Source organism: Homo sapiens, chromosome 5, assembly GCF_000001405.40.
Source record: "Homo sapiens chromosome 5, GRCh38.p14 Primary Assembly".
In the NCBI taxonomy this organism is placed as follows: Eukaryota; Metazoa; Chordata; class Mammalia; order Primates; family Hominidae; genus Homo; species Homo sapiens.
Genome location: NC_000005.10, coordinates 35,053,446 through 35,074,528, shown reverse-complemented (window position 1 = coordinate 35,074,528; position 21,083 = coordinate 35,053,446). Strand labels below are relative to the sequence as shown.

Genomic DNA, 21,083 nt, shown 5'->3' with positions numbered 1-21,083 from the left:
TCATATATATATATATATATATATGGAATCATAAAAAATATGTAGCTGTTCCACATTTTTTTTTTTGAAATGGAGTTTCGCTCTTGTCACCCAGGCTGGAGTGCAATGGTGCGATCTCAGCTCACTGCAACCTCTGCCTCCCAGATTCCAGTGATTCTCCTGCCTCAGCCTCCCAAGTAGCTGGAACTACAGGTGCACACCACCACGCCTGGCAAATTTTTTGTATTTTTAGTAGCGATGGGGTTTTACCACATTGGCCAGGCTGGTCTCAAACTCCTGACCTCAGGTGATCCACCTGCCTCAGCCTCCCAAAATGGTAGGATTACAGGCATAAGCCACTGTGCCTGGCCTCTACCACATTTTTTATCCATTCATCAACTGATGGACATTTGGATTTCTTCACTTTTGGCTATTATAAATAGTGCTGCCATGAAAATTCACATACAAGATTTTCTTAAACATCTGTTTTCAATTCTTTTGAATCTATATCTAGGAGTGGAATTGATGGGCAATATGGCAACTCTAAGTTTGACTTTTTGAGGAACTTCCAGACTGTTTTCCACAGTGGTTGCACCAGTTTACATTCCTACCAGCAGTATTGAGGGTTCCAATCTCTCCACATCCTCACCAACACTTGTTATGTTTCATTTTTTAATTCTTGCCATGCTAGTACATGTGAAATGGTATCTCACTGTGGTTTTGATTTGCATTCCCCAGAAGGCTAATGACCTTGAGCATCTTTTCATGTGCTTCTTGGCCATTTGTCCCTCCTTGAATTTTGTATCCTATGCACTTCACTCACGTCAGCCTAATCCCAGGCCTGCTCTCCAGCACCTGACATCAAACGCAATGTCTTACAACCATGGTAGAGTGAAATAGTAGAGACCACTTCCTCTAAGTCACATAGTTATGGGTTCAAATAACACTTTTACCAAATATGTGACCTTAGGCGAGTAATTTCCCTCTTCTAAGCCTGTTTCCTCCTCTGTAAAATGAATGGGTACAATAATAGTACTTCATGGAGTTGCTGGAGGATTATAAGAAACGATGCAGAGATAGTATTTTATACAGTCCCTGGCATGTAGTAAATACTCGAGAAACATTAGCTGTCATTTTGCTAATGGGAATTCGCTAAGCATTTGTTGAATGAGTGACTGGGCCAACAGGCTGTTATGAAATCACCAAAAGGATCATTGCCAAAAAGCTCAACCTCCATTTAGCTTATGGGAGAGTGGATCTCATTTACCACAGGGTGTAATATGTATGTTGAATATAAGATGTAATTGCTGAAACGAAGATGGAATCTGTAAACCTGTTATCTGCAGAGTTATGATTATGAATAGTTCATTTACAAAAAACTGTGTGTAACTAAGGAGAATCTCATGCCCAGCTGAGGGAAATAAGCTGTTTGAAATCTCTTTCCCTATAGTCTTCCATGCCAACTCCCACTTGCAAATCCCAGCCCAGTTTTTATCACCTGGTCTCTGTCATCATGAAAATTATGGGGATAGCTATGAGATTCTAACTGATGAAAAGCGAGAACATGCGGAGAATGAAATACCAGCTGCTTATTATTCTTACCATGTAAACCTCATCTGTATGCACAAATATGATTGGTCACATACTAAGAGGTAGAAGACAAAAGGCCCGGGTATTTGGGGGGCTTATAGTACAGTGGGAAGAGTGAGATGATAAACAGAAAAAGGAATTCCTAATAGAAAATGGTAAAGCCAAAGAAAAGGTGCAAGCAATGAGTGCTACTGGCATTTGCTGTATTTCTGCAGTTCAGCCAGACCCTCCTTTGGAGCTGGCTGTGGAAGTAAAACAGCCAGAAGACAGAAAACCCTACCTGTGGATTAAATGGTCTCCACCTACCCTGATTGACTTAAAAACTGGTTGGTTCACGCTCCTGTATGAAATTCGATTAAAACCCGAGAAAGCAGCTGAGTGGGAGGTGAGTGATCCATATGCTTTTTGAAGGAACTATGGCCTTTGGCAAGGATAAAGCCCTCACAACTGAAAACAGGTCATTCCTCCTAATTACTGGGTCACTGTGTTGGCCTCCAATGCAGTTGTGACCCACCCAGATGTGAAAAGCCCTTTTCCCCTCTATTGGGATTGATGGGGGCTCATCTTCACAGCTCTCCTCGGGCTAGTTTCTTGTACTGCTCAGACACTTGACCAGGTTTCCAACCTGCCTCCCTTAGTACATTTTAGATCTAGACCCTTGTAAGAGTACTTAAATGGCACAAGGTGGGAGGGGGCAGTCTCAGTATATCCCGTCCATAGTCAATGGCTGTGTTTTTATTTACTTTAAAATACCTCAACCAGGCTGGGTGCAGTGGATCACACCTGTTAATCCCAGCACTTTGGGAGGCCGAGACAGGTGGATCACCTGAGGTCAGGAGTTCAAGACAAGCCTGGCCAACAGGAAGAAACCCCATCTCTACTAAAAGTACAAAAAAATTAGCCAGGTGTGGTGGCGGGCACCTGTAATCCCAGCTCCTCGGGAGGCTGAAGCAGGAGAATCTCTTGAACCCAGGAGGCGGAGGTTTCAGTGAGCTGAAATCGCGCCATTGCACTCCAGCCTGGGCAACAAGAATGAAACTCCATTTGGAAAAAAAAAAAAGGCTGGGCTCAGGGGCTCACACTTGTAATCCCAGCACTTTGGGAGGCAGAAGCAGGTGGATCACTTGAGGTCAGGAGTTTGAGACCAGCCTGACCAACATGGCAAAACCCAGTCTCTACTGAAGATACAAAAAACTTAGCCAGGCATGGTGGTGAGTGCCTGTGATCCCAGCTACTCTGAAGGCTGAGGCAGGAGAATTGCTTAAACCTGGGAGGCAGAGATTTCAGTGGGCTGAGGTCATGCCATTGTGCTCCAGCCTAGGTGACAAGAGCGACTCCGTCTCAAAAAATAAATAAATAAAAATAAAAATAAAATAAAATACTTTGACCTAAAGAAATAATATTAAATTGCAGGTGGTACAATATTCCATCTTTACATACTTTAGTATATGCCTCTTTTAAAAAGGCACATTTCCAAACATAGCCAAAATAATAGGATCACACATAGGAAAATTAAAATTCCTTAATATCGTTTAATACCCAGTCCCTAGTTTAATTCCTCCCAATGTTTCCGAATATCTTTAACAGCTACTTTGTCCAAACCAGAATCTGCTCGTAGACCACACATTGTAACTGGTCGTTATATCCTTCAGTTTCAGTGTAATGAGGAGACTGGGCCACTTGTCCCATAGAGTATCCCACCTTGTACCTTTCTCTGATCAGTTCTTTGTGGGGTTATTTAGCTAATTTCTCTACGCCTCCATTTCCTGTAACCAGACTTGATTAGATGTAGGTTGAACAATTTTTACCAAGAATTGGTAAATTCAGAGGTGATATTATGTACTCTATATTGTATTTAATCAGATGTCAAAAACTATCTGGTTGACCCACCATAAGTGATGCTAAAACTGGCCCCTGAATTGAGGAGATGACAAACTGATCCCTTGATTGTAAGGTCATGTTTAATTTGTATACTACTACTTTACCATACATGAATGCCCAATTCTCTTTCACCTCATGTTTTTAACACCAATTTATTATTGAATCAGTTATTTCATTAGGGTTTAAAGGCTAACAATTCTTTAATTTTGTTATTCTTTTTTTTTTTTTTTTTTTTTTGAGACGGAGTTTCGCTTTGTCACTCAGCTGGAGTGCAATGGCACGATCTCGGCTCACTGAAACATCCGCCTCCCAGGTTCAAGCGATTCTCCTTCCTCACCTTCCCAAGTAGCTGGGATTACAGGCATGTGCCACCATGCCTGGCTAATTTTGTATTTTTAGTAGAGACAGGGTTTCTCCATGTTGGTCAGGCTGATCTCGAACTCCCAACCTCAGGTGATACGCCTGCTTCGGCCTCCCAAAGTGCTGGGATTACAGGCATGAGGCACCATGCCTGGCCAATTTTGTTATTCTTTCTACATTTATTAAGTAGTTGTTTTTCATAAAGTGGGAAGGAGGCAGAATATTTGACTTTTCTGAAGTAGAGTCCCAAATGGAGAGATAGAAAACCTGCTAAATTTTTGTGTGAGCAATTTTAAGAGAAGGAAAAGATAGGGCTAAGACAGTGGAGTAGTGACAGCAGGGAATTCTCTGTATATGATTGTTCAGCCTAACTTAGTTTATTTTTTAGGGGAAAACTCTCTTTCTTCACAACAAATGTTAGAATTGACTTCTGTTTTCCTTATTCTACCTTAGATCCATTTTGCTGGGCAGCAAACAGAGTTTAAGATTCTCAGCCTACATCCAGGACAGAAATACCTTGTCCAGGTTCGCTGCAAACCAGACCATGGATACTGGAGTGCATGGAGTCCAGCGACCTTCATTCAGATACCTAGTGGTGAGCGTCTTGGCTCTTTTTTGCTTATGTCCCTAAATATGTTTTAAATGGTATATTTGCATATAATAACTACTAATAGAGAAACCATTTTGAGCCTTAGCCAGAACAATAGAGGTGGGTTTATAATCTTTCTGCCCAATACGAAGACATTTTGAAAAGCAGCATTGCACCCTGGATTACTGTCAATGGAGAACAATTTTAGGATAAGGCTACAGACATGGGTCTGATGCCCCAAGGGGCTTGATGAGCAGTTATTATGCTCCCACCATCTTCCCTATTCCCATCATTTAGAGGATTTGGTCAAGGTCATCCTCTAGTTCTTCCAGAATTTATAAGGCAGTACCGTGTCTCAAAGGCTCAGTCTCTGCCATGGATTACACTTGGCACCTTGTCTCTTAGTGAAGACACAGGATATAAGATAGACAGCTCCAGCAAAGCACCTTAATTCAGTAGCTTGTGTTCTATAAGGGAACAATCCATCTTGCATTTTTAAAATGCTTTACAGCTTACAAAGCCTGTACCTTATTTGGTCCTCCCAACCCTCCCAGGTATTCAGAGAATATGATTATCATTAAAAATTAAAAGTGAAGAAACCAAACCTCAGCAAAGTTAGGAGTCTTTTCCAAAACCACACAGGAAAGTCTAGCTTTTCTAACAACTTGCCTGACCAAAGTATCGGGCTTTCATTGGCTTGGCATGCTGGAAAGGGCACTGAACTGCAAATCAGGCAGGCATCTAGTCCACTCCTGACTCTTGCTTAACAAAAGCACAGGGTCTAGAGGCAGAAAGCCTGAGTTCAAATCCCAGCCTGCAACACTATAGTTATGTGGCCATTGGTAAATCTTTCTTTGATTCCCAGTTTTCTTATCTTTTATAACAAAGCAATGTAGGCAAAGAGTTTAACACCATTGATGGCTTTTAGTAAGAACTTAATGTTAGCTTTTATTATTATTACTGCAAACGACCATGTGACCTTGGATTTCCTCTTTAAGGATCAATTAAAAAGAATAATGAAAGGATTTTTAAATTTTTAGAGTACTATAAAATATACGCAACATATTAACATATTAATAATATTTAAAAGAGAATAGCCCTGTCATTGATGATACTTTGGATTGCTGTTCAAATCAAAAAAATATATGAATGGAGGAAAACACTCTTGGGTTTAAGAGTTTCATTCATTAGGTTGGTTTGTTTTTAATGATGCTGTACGTGATCAAAGCTTTCTGGCTGTTTGTTTTTTAGACTTCACCATGAATGATACAACCGTGTGGATCTCTGTGGCTGTCCTTTCTGCTGTCATCTGTTTGATTATTGTCTGGGCAGTGGCTTTGAAGGGCTATAGGTACTTCACTGTCTCTCAACTTTTCCTCCCAATCATGATAGTCAAGGATAATGACAAAAAAAAAAATACAAAGATGATGGAAACCTGTAGATAATCCTCATTTTAGCCATTAGATGTAGTGTGTTTGCCCATAAAAAAAATCTTTTATCAGTGCTATAAAAAGTAGAAAAATTGACTCGTTTCAGGCTGATGTTCTTTCTATGAAACAGAGATTCCTAGTTGTGAAACAGTAAAAATCTGGCAAGAGTAGCTAAAATCAAGAGAAGCAAATAGTCCAGATAATCCACTAACTTCAAAATCAGCCTCCTTAATTAGCTAAAGTTAATTTTAATATAGGCCTCTGTAATTTTATTTTCATCATTGATTGTTTCATGGAGCTGCCAAACCAAGTCCTATCTCTATCACAGTCCCTATAGTGGCTATTATACTAACCTTTCAAAAATTACAAAGTCAGAAATGAGTCATTTAGCCAATCTCATGAATTATTTTATAGCATGGTGACCTGCATCTTTCCGCCAGTTCCTGGGCCAAAAATAAAAGGATTTGATGCTCATCTGTTGGAGGTAAGTACAGGAGGCAAAAAAATGGAGTGTGACTCACTGCTCTGTAGTAATTAACTCTACACACTCACACACAGTCCCCGTCAGTTCAGCCTGGTAGTTTCAGCCAGCCTTTTTGGACTGTCTCTCCTGGTCAGCATGTGTGTTAACAGAAAGTTGTGTGAAGGATGAGGGTACTTACTTTCACACACTAAATGTCAGAGGGCAAGGAGAGAAAGCCAAGAAAACATGGAAACACATTTATTGATTTATCAGATCTACTCATAAGCATAGAGATAAACATTTTATACAAATAATCAATTTAGAAAGAGAGTGAATATTTTGATTAATGCAAAACAGGGACCCACCACCACCCCCTCAATCATACATTGGTAAAAGCTTCTACTTGAATGTTCTTTACATAAAGCCATAGTAACAGAATATCCCATTGCCATTATCTCTCACTTTGGGCACTCAGCTGAGACCAGATCAGTACTGTGGGGCCATCTGTTTGCCAGGACCCATTTGGGCTGATTCAAGAGGGAATTAAATAATGAGTGTTTTGAATGAAAAGAGAGGTTAGAACAGTTTTAAATTTTTCTCCAAATTGAAATAAATAGTTTCAGTTTGGCTTTTAAGCTTAACACTGACATATATAAAAGCAACTAGCTGTACATTAAGGCAAATACTTGACCCAGCTGCTCTGGGTCTGACAGTGTAAGAATAGAAGAATTGAGTCCTGGATAATCTGGCTTGTCTGTGTTCACTTTGGTTGCAAATATCGAAGCAGGGACTAGAGCCCAGGAGTCCCAGCTCCTGACCCAGTGCTCTTCCTCCACTATCCAGTGTAGCATTGGCCTGATAGAACCAGCATGAATGTCTCAGCAAACTAAACTAGTTACTGTCCAGCTCACAATTTAACCTGCTAGCCACAGAGACTTAACGATAAAATAGCTACTTTTGTCTCAAAAATATGTGTTAGTATTCTTAATGATATTACCTCTAATCCTCAAAAGAACCCTCCCAGATGGGTAGTATTAATATTATTTTCTACCTTTTAAAAATGGAGAAGCTGAAGTTCAGAGAGCAGCTTGTCCAAAGTCACATACCCTATAATAAGTGATAAAGCCAAGACCTAGGTCAGTACCTGACCCAAGTCAGAGGATAAGAAAAAAGAGGCCGGGCGCGGTGGCTCACGCCTGTAATCCCAGCACTTTGGAAGGCAGAGGCGGGCAGATCACGAGGTCAGGAGATCAAGACCATCCTGGCTAACATGGTGAAACCCTGTCTCTACTAAAAATGTAAAAAATTAGCCAGGCGTGGTGGTGGGCGCCTGTTGTCCCAGCTACTCGGGAGGCTGAGGCAGGAGAATGGCGTGAACCCGGGAGGCGGAGCTTGCAGTGATCCGAGATCATGCCACTGCACTCCAGCCTGGGCAACAGAGCGAGACTCCGTCTCAAAAAAAAAAAAAAAAAAAAGAGGCAAGAGTGAGAGGAGGAGGCAGGAGGAAATAGGAGGGGGAAAGGAAGGATAGAAGCAGGGAGAATAATAGGAAGGGCGGAAATATGGAATAGGGTGATGAAGGGGGAGAAGAGAAGGAGGGAGAGGAAGTAGAGTAGAAGAAAACAGTAGATTAGGAAGAGGGAGGAGAAGGGAAGGGGAAATAAGAAGAGGAAGGAGAGAAGGAAGATGAACCACAGAAGGAAAAGACAAGAATCCACTTACTATTGCCAGACTCTAGAAAGTGATAGAGGAAGTTAGCAGGCCAGCAACCACACCTCTGCCAGTGGGCCGCAGTGTCAGATGCATGCATAAGCACTGTGGGTTTAGAAGTTTCACAAACCTTCATTTTATAGTTATCTGTTTATTATTGTATGTGTATATACTACTTGCCCATTAAACTCATGATTATTATTGCTTGGAGAGAGACTACGTTAAATATCCTGAGTTGACTTTAAAAAAAAAAATCTGCTGAATAGTATCCAGAAGGTGATTCTAGATGGCCTGGCACACAAATGTCTGAAGTTTGAGATCTTCCCACCTGCTTGTGGCAATGAACAGCACCACTTAGCAGGGATGCTGATTTGGAATGTTATGAAGCTAACAGCCATCTCTTCTTGTGTCTGTGTTTTAATAGAAGGGCAAGTCTGAAGAACTACTGAGTGCCTTGGGATGCCAAGACTTTCCTCCCACTTCTGACTATGAGGACTTGCTGGTGGAGTATTTAGAAGTAGATGATAGTGAGGACCAGCATCTAATGTCAGTCCATTCAAAAGAACACCCAAGTCAAGGTATGAAACCCACATACCTGGATCCTGACACTGACTCAGGCCGGGGGAGCTGTGACAGCCCTTCCCTTTTGTCTGAAAAGTGTGAGGAACCCCAGGCCAATCCCTCCACATTCTATGATCCTGAGGTCATTGAGAAGCCAGAGAATCCTGAAACAACCCACACCTGGGACCCCCAGTGCATAAGCATGGAAGGCAAAATCCCCTATTTTCATGCTGGTGGATCCAAATGTTCAACATGGCCCTTACCACAGCCCAGCCAGCACAACCCCAGATCCTCTTACCACAATATTACTGATGTGTGTGAGCTGGCTGTGGGCCCTGCAGGTGCACCGGCCACTCTGTTGAATGAAGCAGGTAAAGATGCTTTAAAATCCTCTCAAACCATTAAGTCTAGAGAAGAGGGAAAGGCAACCCAGCAGAGGGAGGTAGAAAGCTTCCATTCTGAGACTGACCAGGATACGCCCTGGCTGCTGCCCCAGGAGAAAACCCCCTTTGGCTCCGCTAAACCCTTGGATTATGTGGAGATTCACAAGGTCAACAAAGATGGTGCATTATCATTGCTACCAAAACAGAGAGAGAACAGCGGCAAGCCCAAGAAGCCCGGGACTCCTGAGAACAATAAGGAGTATGCCAAGGTGTCCGGGGTCATGGATAACAACATCCTGGTGTTGGTGCCAGATCCACATGCTAAAAACGTGGCTTGCTTTGAAGAATCAGCCAAAGAGGCCCCACCATCACTTGAACAGAATCAAGCTGAGAAAGCCCTGGCCAACTTCACTGCAACATCAAGCAAGTGCAGGCTCCAGCTGGGTGGTTTGGATTACCTGGATCCCGCATGTTTTACACACTCCTTTCACTGATAGCTTGACTAATGGAATGATTGGTTAAAATGTGATTTTTCTTCAGGTAACACTACAGAGTACGTGAAATGCTCAAGAATGTAGTCAGACTGACACTACTAAAGCTCCCAGCTCCTTTCATGCTCCATTTTTAACCACTTGCCTCTTTCTCCAGCAGCTGATTCCAGAACAAATCATTATGTTTCCTAACTGTGATTTGTAGATTTACTTTTTGCTGTTAGTTATAAAACTATGTGTTCAATGAAATAAAAGCACACTGCTTAGTATTCTTGAGGGACAATGCCAATAGGTATATCCTCTGGAAAAGGCTTTCATGATTTGGCATGGGACAGACGGAAATGAAATTGTCAAAATTGTTTACCATAGAAAGATGACAAAAGAAAATTTTCCACATAGGAAAATGCCATGAAAATTGCTTTTGAAAAACAACTGCATAACCTTTACACTCCTCGTCCATTTTATTAGGATTACCCAAATATAACCATTTAAAGAAAGAATGCATTCCAGAACAAATTGTTTACATAAGTTCCTATACCTTACTGACACATTGCTGATATGCAAGTAAGAAATAATGCCTCCAATTTTTTCTTAAAATAGTTTAGATATGTTAAGCATGGATTTTCCCCCTAAATTCTACTCTAAAGCTTCTATAAAATATAGTTTGGAAATAAAAATGTTCTTACACAAGGGGCAAATGAATTTCATGTGAATCCCTTTAGGATGTTTTCCTCCTTCATTTCAGCATGATAGATAATTTATTATACACCTTAGTCTTTCCTTAGTTAAAAAAAAATTCCCTAAAGACTAACTTGAAAAGAAAACCACAGCAGGATGCTAATGGAATTACTGCCTTACTGTACATACAAATTCTACTTTAATATAAACCCATAAGTTTAACTGTATTTTTGAAGACTATTTTTCTATGACTTAGGTAAAATAAAAGACTATTTTCTATTTTCCCAGTACAGCTGTTTATGTATTCAGTGGGTACAGTATTTTCTGCTGCAAGGTTATAATGTGTATTTACAGTACATAGTAGTATATAAAGTTCCCGTTTGTGGAGTAAAATGCCATACCAACCCAAAGCCCACTGTGAAATATGAAGTGAATGACAAAATTCAGTTTTCAACGCAATATAGTATAGTTTATCTGATTCTTTTGATCTCCAGGACACTTTAAACAACTGCTACCACCACCACCAACCTAGGGATTTAGGATTCTCCACAGACCAGAAATTATTTCTCCTTTGAGTTTCAGGCTCCTCTGGGACTCCTGTTCATCAATGGGTGAATCTTCCTAAAGCTACCATAAAAAGGGAGGGCGACGATTTCTAACAGCTGTTTAAAAGAGAGAGGTTTTGCTTTTGTGAGAAATCTTGGGCCACAAAAAAATTTTAAGCAAAGCCAGGAGTTAGTGTCTCTCTGAAGTAAATTCAATTGCAAAATCTTGGCAGAGGCAGAAATGGCTCATATCAGAAGTGTCCAAATAAAAGTTCTGGGAAACTAGGTATTTGCTTCCCAGAGCAATGGGAATAGCTCCAAAGGTCAGAGTAAGGTAATGAGAATCTCCCGGTCAATTCCAGTGCCAGGCTTCCTGAAAGAAGTCAAAGCTTGGATCCTCATTTTAAAGGGCGCATCCATGACTCATCTAGCAGCCCCTCTCTATTTTTCCCTTCACTTGATGGTAAATCCATTCTATATGTCCATTTACTAGCTGGACATAGAGAACTTGAGCTCACCTCTGGGAGTTAAATATTCCACCCCAACTATCCCATATTGATAGCAACTGGACTCAGAGGTCCCCCTCCTGTTTGAAAGTGAACACATTGCCAATGTTTTGAGAATGGCAAAAGCAATAGATACGAAGCTCCATTTTTCTAATATATAAACAATATCATGTGAGTAAGGGAAGCGTGTGGGAAAGTTGTCCAAGCTCATTCAGTCCCCTAAATCCTCGATACTTTAACTGTCTGAGAACCAACTGCATAGGCATCACCTGGGCAGTGTTTGAAAATTCCATTTGCAGAATCTTAAGCATCAGAATCTGCATTTTACTAAGATCCCCAAATGATTCAATTGCACACTGAAGTTTGAGAAGCATTGTTCTAGACAACCATTTCCACTAAAGGTTATTTTAGTTCATAGTAACAATCCTCTTTTGGAAAGGACAGATCAAGTCTGTTTGACTTGCAATGAACAACACTGCATGTAAGCAGGCAAAAAAAGAAACATATCAGTAGTTTAAGATTCACATTATGCTGAATCTTATATGAATTCACATAAAAGAATGACCTGCAAAACTACGCACAACTTCTGAAAGGCCAAGGAATATAATCTACCTTGAGAGACATTAACCAAAGACAGTCACCCTCAAAGCCAATGCAGACTAAATCTTTCCTAACATAGTCTATTCTCTAAGAATAGAGAAGATATGTATCAGTCACTCTTATAGTCTGAAAACCTAAACATAAAAGTAATCTGCTTTTGACATATAATTTTGTATAATACGTATGAAAAAATGTGACAGCTAAGGACTTGAATTAAATCCCTAAAAAACAATTAGCCACTCATTAGGCCAAGACTTTAATTCTATGATCAATTAGCACTGTTTATCTGAATTAAGCTTTTTTGTGGTCTAACAAAAAGTTTTTTTGTGGTCTATCAAGGAGACAGCTGTTCAAATGGAAGGATACATGTGGGGCAGGGGGGCGGTGAAGAGACCTAGATTCTGGTCCTAACTGCTTTGCCTTGGAGAGATTAATTCCCCCCTCTAAGCCTCAGTTTCCTCTGAAGATGTTGGACCAGATAACCTCTAAGGTCCTTTGAAACTGACTCCTTGATTCCATGACTCACTGAATATTTTTCTGCAAAGATAATCCCAACCAATGCCTTCTATCCTAATCTAACAAAAAATTGCTCTTCATCATAGAAATACAAAGTAATCTTCAGTGATGTGCTCTTTATACTTTGCTTTTTAAACCGTCCATTCCAGTTGGTCTTAATATATTGCACAAGTATTTTATAAGTGAAATGTGTACAGAATCATATTCTAAGATTATGTGCAAATATATGTGTAGAAAGAGGCATTTAAAAAAAGAGGCAGGAGATTGAGAAGAGACATATTGAATGAGGCACTAATCTTTAGAAAAATGATCTTTTACTGAATCAAGCCATGCTCATTCCTTGCTGAATCCAACAGCCCCAAATCTCTTTTCTTATATTTGGCTGTTAATTTTTTTCCTTGCACCATCCTAGATTGTTAACAACCATTGCACAGTTGGCTCATGTATCCTTACACTCTGAGTTATAATAAGTTGTATTTTTATAAACAAATACCTAAATATTCAAGTTTTAAGGCGCATGGAAACTGAATCTAGGCAACGGGTGATTTGTGTAGCTTACAACCTGAACAGCAAGATGTTCCAATTCATTCTAACAGATGTGTATAAGCACAAGTTATATCAGCTGTGTCAGATATTTAACAGATCCTACATTTATTAGCTATATAACAGACTCTACATTTTCCTAAGTGCCTAAGACCAATCCTGGTAGTCACTTAAGTACAAAAGACTCACTTTAACTGGCTTGGTCTGAAGGGGTCAATCCTTTACTGCCTGTACAAGATCTGGGCAGTTTTGCTCTGTGTCTTGTGATGACCCAGCTGAATGTGAAAAGCCTATGAGTTATTGAGCAACCAGAGGTCCCTGCATTCCAAGTTGCAGTTTAGCTCTGGGGAAACTCTGGCTTTCTCTTTCCTCAAGTGTCCACCACTGCCCATCATTTGCAGAAAGACTTGGCCCTGCCTTTAGCAACTTCCCTATCTCCTTAGAGTAGACAAGAAAGAAACAGATTTGTGCACATTTTACAAAGTGCCTTCCTCTATTTTTTTTTAAAGTTTTCATTTTGCAAGGAAAAATGTATTGATTAGAAAGTAACATTTGCCTTATAGGGATTATATATATATATAGATATAGATATAGATATGTATGAATGGAGAGATGAGAAGAAGCCAGAAAGGGCACAACAAAATGGTCTAAGGGCCAACCAGCAATGTTCAGTGAATGTTTACGTATTGTTTAATTGAATCAACACAGAGCTGTTGTGAATAGTGTGACTTACTTTGCCTGATAAGAAATTGAGGCTGGCTGTGATTTGGGGATAAACCTGCCACCCTGTGATTTGAGACTCTCCATACCAAAACTTATTGATACATTTTTGAATGTCATTGGCTTACATGCCTAAACCTGAAGAGAACAATGCATGCACATTGGAACTTTGTACACAAACAGAAAAATATAAATGACTTTGAATTACCATCCCAAGCATTGCTAACGTAGATGTGCCATTGACGAAAGTCTCATGTGTTCTTGAGTGAACAAATTTCCTTTTCTTCCTTTTTGGCTCAAGCACAATAATGCTGTCACTGAGACAGTGACTGAGCACTCAATGTCCAAGACTAAATCACATCACCACGACTAAGTAGGCACTATGTCCTGGGATGAGTCTTTTAAACTCTGGCCATCAGGTTCCTTACTTGTTAAATAAGTAGGTTGGCCTAAAAGGTTTCTAAGACCTCTCATGATCTAGGTAAAATCCAGGGTTTCAGGTCAGTGTCCCTGGTGCAGTGCAAGAAAGCCTTGCTGACACACCCTTGGCCTGAAGCAGTGAGCACATGAGATTGTGTGACAACGCTTCAGAGAAAAACAGAGATCTGTTCCTCCAACTCAGATTGATTTAACATCCTTGCTTCTCCTTTTCCTTCCTGGCTTTACATATTTGTAGGGTTTTTACTCCTTCTCCAGAGCCTACTATTTTCCTAAGAGTTAGTAGCAACCATAGGATCCACAAGAAATGAAATTATTCATCAACAATGACTTTGGCACTGCAAAAGACTGAGTCAAAGGTTAAATCAGTCACACAGATATCCAAGGCCAAGTTGAAGATCACAAGTATATCCCATTTAGAGATTTGCATACTTAGAGATTAAGCCCATGTTCATTAATTATTTAGTTAATTCAAAAGCCATTAATAAATCCATGCCCAGCCTACGCAACATAGTAAGACCCAGTCTCTACAAAAATTTTAAAAATTAGCCAGCCATGGTGACACGTACCTGTAGTCCTAGACACTTGGGAAGGTGAAGCCAGAGGATTGCTTGAGCCCAGGAGGTCGAGGCTGCAGTGAACCGTGATTGTGTCACTGCACTCCAGCCTGGGTGAGAGAGCAAGACCTTGTCTCAATAAATAAACCCAAGTTACTTCGATGACTAGATACTGGAGGTCTGAAGGAGAAGCTTTAAAAATACAGATTGATTGCTTCAGAGAAATCCTATTTATAATTATGATCTGAACTTATTCTATGATTAGCAAATATATCATCTGAAAATAAAACAGGAGTTCTCTCCCCAGACTTTTGTTTTTCAGGATGGTGAGTTTTGGTCTGGGACCCTCATGGCACCCATTTTGATAAAAGGAAAAAGATAGTAAAACAGGAAATAGGAAGTTTCCAGAGATTTGGGCATCTCAGGATTCCATGAAATGCTGAGACTAACCCACTAAATCCAAATTTTATTGGCTATGGTAAATCTAAATCTGTTCAGTGTTCTGAACAGATTTTATGAGTTTATGTCTAAGAGTTTATGTCTAAGAGAGGTACATAATTCACAAACACTATCATGCTGGCAGCTGTTTTGTCCACATCAATTCCCTTGATTTAATGCTCTGATTTCAATTTAGAAAGTACTGAGACATGTAAAGTCTCAAAATAGGAAAAACCTATCCTGTTTATAAGGTGTGGTCAATAAATAGACCACAGATAATCTTAGTCTATTAATTAACTCTCAGATCATCTTAGACTATTAATTAACATTCTGCTTGCTGCTGATTAAAAAGAAAAAAACCCTAAAACCTTCAGCAACTGAAGTAGTAATATAAAAAATAACCTTTAATAGTTATGGTCAAATTACGCTTCACTTGGATAAACCTCAAAATGTAGTCTGAGTTTTTTTGTGCACACTTCACAAATCCTGGGGGAAAAATCTTTTTTCCACGTTATCTGAAAAACTATATGGCGAAGATACCGCTGAAAAATAATTTGTTTTATGAAATTCCTGAAAAGCTAATTTTGAATTTTTTAAAGTAACTACCTCCCTTTTGTGTCCTAATGTCCTTCCTTCAAAGCTGCTTATAGTTTAGAAATGAAAGATGTCATGTCTCATGCTTTGACTGGTTTTCGGTGGCATATTTGATGTATTTGCCAAGTGGCATTACTGACTTTACAGTAACTGTTACATTATTTTGTACTATATTGCTTTATGTGGTTCAAAAATAGTATATGCCATATTGAAATATGTAATCCTCATGTTGTGAAACTCATCATGTAATACAAATGAAAATCATTACTTAATAACTTACAATTTATCCATATGTAGTTTCAATATGATTGTGTCTATGACTGTAAAACAAAACTGAAAAAATATGTAATGTATTTCTGTTGAAAGCGTGAATGTACTAATTTTTTCCTAATCTTTGTCTAGAAGAAAGATTCTATGTCATTCATTGTACAGCTGCTCTGGGGTGTTACACATTTAAAGTACAATCCAACAGTTGTTTGAAAGTCAGCCTCTCGGCTTTGTTTCATGTGACTGCTGACACTTCTCAAGTGTTCTTTGCATAATGAGGCTGGATTTTGTGCTTCATCGTTCATTTTAAACAATTGAAAAGTCTCATGTGGAAACCAAAGCAATCTAGAACCAGCCTGTTGGGTGACTGTGTCTTCTGTAAAGCCATATTGAAGTGAAGTTATACATAATAGCATAAGGTTCCACATTTTCAAAGCTACCACTACCTCTGCTTTTCCTCTTTCCCTAGAAAATGCCAAGCAAAATTCCCCAACACTAAGTGAGAAATTAGAAGTAATTGTTTTATAATTAAGTTGCTGGGTTTTTTTTTTAACACCTTCTAATTCATCACTTTGTAGGGTTATGCAAGAGTTTCTGAATAACCATTCTTACATGTTTATATTTTATAAAAACCGGCTGCAAGAAAGATTCAGAAAGAATACTTAGTAAGTCATCATATGAAAAACCAACAAAACCATAGAGTGCAGATTTTTTCCTAACTATAAGTCACCTCATAGTTGTCCAAAGCCATGATAATGATATCTCTTACAAATTGACTTCTGTAACCCCCCTAGAAATAACCCTTTTCCTTATTTGATTTTAGTCATCAAACATAGTATGATATGGGAAAAGTCAGCCATTTACCAGAAATTATCTTATTTTGATTTTAAAAACTCATTTCTATATGTAGTTATTGTAATGTCTATTTTTTTAGACTTAAAGATTTATAGAAGACTATAGTTATCTGATTTGTTATTTTGCATTTTTCATTCTGTAAATCTTTGCTTATGGCACATTGTGCTCTCTGTTTTCCATGGTTTTATTCATTTATCTCCTCCTATTTTGAGGGGACAACATGGGTAGTTAAATCTTTGTCAATAGTATTGGAGATAACACTAACTGCTATTATCATAACATCTTCATTTTTACTGCATGCCAAAACCAATGCCTGCCAAACAAAATCTTAGACATCCCAATATAATATGTTAGTTATATTTCTATTCACATCATTATTGAAAATACCCAGCTCAGTGCCTGGCTTAATAAATGTTTAATTCCCTTACCTACTCTTGCTCTATTTTTTTATTTGAAATGGAGATGAGCAAAATAACACATTCATGGCTGAAGCAATTTTTTGGACATTTCTTGTTACCAAAAGATCTATAATCAGGACATTGTTTATGTAAGTTGGACAAAAAAAATTCTTCCCCTTTATGTCCACCCTTCCTATGATTGCAAGACAAAATTTCCCTCCTTTACCTCATCCCTATAACATGGGAGGCTGAGAAAAATGAGGGGAGATGGAACCAGATACAAGGAGATCCAATAAGAGAAGCTTATTTAAATATTGTGAAATAAAGGAAGAACCAAAGCATTTTTTTAAGTGGGGAATCCTTTTGAACAGTTATTATTTATCCATATTATTAACAACATCTTTTCTGACAAAATCCATCAGATGAAGTGTAAATGGATAATCTTTTAATGGATCTAAACCTAGAAAGTTTCACTTACTGTTCATGTCCGTGTTCCAGAATTGTGAAATGGTGTGTGGTTTTGCTTTCCAAGTTCTTCTCTGCCTCCTCTTAATTCTCTAATTCCATGTCTTACAGAAGAATGAGAAATTTCTTTCTTACTTGAGTATCATGCTCTAAAAAACTTGGCTTCAGTCACAGAAACGCTGGCTCTCCTGTGCTTATATTGAAGCCAACTGCCTTTAATTCTTGGGCCCTCTTATATTTTTAAGGTGCAAAATTTGAAGTCTCAGTCACCAGACACAGGTTCTATACAATTAATGATGAGCTGGAGAAGTAATATGTAGCTAATTTTTCAAAAGCATTGAATATACTTTCCGGAAAGAAAACAGAAATTAAATATTGCCACATCTTGCCAGAATCCCATCTGACACCTTAACTTTGTCAGGTTTCCTACAACTTGCTAATCAAGTTTTATACATTCTAAATCTCCCCAGTTTCTTTGGGGCTGGAAGATGCAACTTCCATTTAATAGAAACTTTGAAATCTTGGGGTAAGGGAGCAGTGGGGGGACTAGGGAGAAGGATAAGAAATAGAATTATTGAAAAGCCCCCACCAGGGACCTTCCTGGCCAGAATATGCAGAGTAATTCCTGCTGGCTTCACCTTTGAAAGTCCCTCGAAACTATGCAGATGAAACTGAGTCTGTTTTTGATATTGTCAGATGTATTCTACCTTGGAAGTCCCAACACCTAAACTGGAATTCTTGTATTTACATCTCCTCCACTGTCCCCCACACCACCCCTCAATTCCTGCTGCCCCTGCTAATGTTAAGCATTTTTCTCTTGTTATCATCAGGTTCACATTAAAAACAGATACTTACAAACTGACTTGAAGCACAGATACTTTTACGAATGTGATAAAATATTTTCTTAAGAAAAGGAAAGAGGATGTGGGTCAAATAAAACACCGCATGGATGTTGATTGGTGAATACTGGTGTAAGAAAAGGGAGCTCAGGAATTTTTATTACTGTATTTGTAAATGAGTTTGAAGGAATTTGTAAATGCCACTGGTACATTTTTAAGGTGACACATTTGCTCCTTATAAAGTTATTAAAAATTACAGGGTAAGCTTAAATGACGTTTGCCAGTAGTTTTACTTTATATAATCAATATTGATATTGTTGCTGAACTATGTAACTTTATGATGCATTTTTCAGTCCCTTTTCAGAGCAAATGCTTTTGCAATGGTAGTAATGTTTAGTTTAAATTGACTTAATAAATTATTACCTGAGCAATGGTTTTTGGAGGGTCTTTATATATGTATGTGAAACATGCATTACATGAAAAATTTAACTTGAAACAAGTTTTTTTTCTTTGCCACAACAAAATTTATTAGAATAGATTTTTTTAAAGAAGGAGGGGGAACTGCATTTTAACTCCGGAAATAAAGTATGCAGACATATGCGAAAACATTTATCTTAGGACACTCACCCATGGCATTTTTTTCAGGCAGAAATTTTTGTGCTCATCTTTGAACACCTCTGAGTTTATTTTCCTACTAATTCTAAATCAAAACTGAACACACATTTCCCCAGTCTTTATTCATCTGCCAGACTCGAGCCTTAAAAATGCAAGCATGCTTGGAAGCACCCAGAAGTTTCTTGGAACTTCTCCTGGGAACAACAAAGAACAATCAAAAGGAGAGTTTCCAAACCTGAGATTCGATCAACTTTCCCATGTTTCCAAACCTGAGATATGATCAACTTTCATTTAACAAGCCACAAATCTCAGGACCAAAGTTTCACATTTTCTTTTGTTCGTGTTTTCCTGACTGGAATTATTCAGTCTTTACTTAAAACCAGCTGTGAGTTCATCATCCATTTGTGATCTTTTATTTATTGCATAAAATATTTCACAAATACTTGAACATATATAGAAAAACATAACAAAGGCTCATTTACCCACATCCAAATCTTTAAATATTCATATTTTGCCTTGTCTGTTCCTTTCTTTAACAAAGATTCATTTAATATCACAGATGCTGTATTTACATCCCTCAACAACCAAATTCTCTACCTCTCTCTTCAGCAGTAACTACAATCCTAAAGTTATTACATATCCTTCCCAGCTATTTTTAAAATGCATTCACCTCATATTTATCTATCCCTAAATAATATGACCAATTACTTTGGTATTTATGAGTTTTGCATAAAAAATAGCAGATATCTTTATGCACTTTGATTTTCTTTCATTCGGCATTGGGTTTTTGAGATACAAATAGCTCCAGCTGCTTAGTTTTATACATCTATACAATCTATTAAACTCCCTATTCATCAACATTTAATTTTCACTGCTTTATGCATACAACTGCTGTGGTTGTATACACATATACAGTTTATTAATCTCCCTATTTATCTACATCTAATTTTCACTGCTTTATGCATATAGCTGCTGTAATTGTACATATACATATAATTTATTAATCTCCCTATTTATCAGCATTTAATTTTCATTGCCATAAATGACAAAAGTTGTGTGTATACCACTGCTATAATTTTACACATATATACTATTTATTAATCCCCCTATTTAGCAACATTTGATTTTCACTGCCATAAATGACTATGCAATGAGCATTCCTATGCCAGTCTCACTGGAATATGTGCAAAAGTTTCTCCAAAATATACACCTAGAGGTGGAATTGTTGGGTCATGTAAAATGCATATCTTAATATTTCCTAGATGCTGACAAATTGCTTCCTCTCCAAAGCAGTTTTACTGATGTGTACCCTTGCCATCAGTGTAGTATTTCCATTTCTCGTCATCTTTATCACTACCTGATGCAGTCAGATATTTTAATGTTTGACAATTCAATGAGCATAAAATGATGCATTGTTATTTTACTTTTTATTTCCCTGATGAATCCATTTGTATCTGAGTAACTCATCCTTTTCCTGCTTATCTTTTATGCCATCTTTGTCATCTTCTGAGTGTCTACATATGCCCAAATGTTAGTCCAGGCTTTTCTGGCCCATTTTTCTGTGTATCTATTCCTGTCCTGGTGCTCCACTGTTTTATTACCATATTTTATACAAAGTCTTGTTATCTGGTATATTAATTCTCACACCACCATACCCTTCTTCAAAATTGTTGTGGCCATTCTTGGCCATTTACTCATCATATGAATTTTCAGATGAGCCTATCGGGTCTCCTAAAAAATTGTGTTGGGAGCTAGATTGAATTTATGTTTTAATGCCAGAAGTTACATCTTTATAATATTGTGCCTCCTAATCTTGAACATGGTATATCATTTCCTTTACATTGGGCTTCAATAAAACTTTACATTATTCTTTATAAATGTTTGCATATGTTTTATTAGATTCATCCCTAGGTACCCTCTCATTACAACCTCCACCTCCCGTGTTTAAGTGATTCTCCTGCCTCAGCCTCCCGAGTAGCTAGGATTACAGGCCCACACCACCACACCCAGCTAATTTTGGCATTTTTAGTAGAGACGAGGTTTTGCCATGTTGTGCAGGTTGGTCTCAAATT

General features: G+C 38.4%; 1 protein-coding gene across 13 annotated transcripts in view; it reads left to right on the top strand.

The window, feature by feature from the left end:
* PRLR (prolactin receptor) overlaps positions 1-21,083 on the top strand; it is a 181,732-nt gene that overhangs the window by 155,959 nt on the left and 4,690 nt on the right. For 7 of the 13 annotated variants that reach the window (XM_024446131.2, NM_000949.7, XM_047417388.1 and 4 more), the window contains 5 exons: positions 1,785-1,954; positions 4,264-4,405; positions 5,651-5,750; positions 6,244-6,313; positions 8,427-18,827. In XM_024446131.2, coding sequence (XP_024301899.1) covers positions 1,785-1,954; positions 4,264-4,405; positions 5,651-5,750; positions 6,244-6,313; positions 8,427-9,440 — 1,496 coding nt within the window. In that variant the 3' untranslated portion in view covers positions 9,441-18,827. Of the gene's footprint in view, positions 1-1,784; positions 1,955-4,263; positions 4,406-5,650; positions 5,751-6,243; positions 6,314-8,426; positions 18,833-21,083 lie in introns of those variants that run through there. The other 6 variants (NR_037910.1, NM_001204317.1, NM_001204315.1 and 3 more) reach the window with 5 other exon arrangements.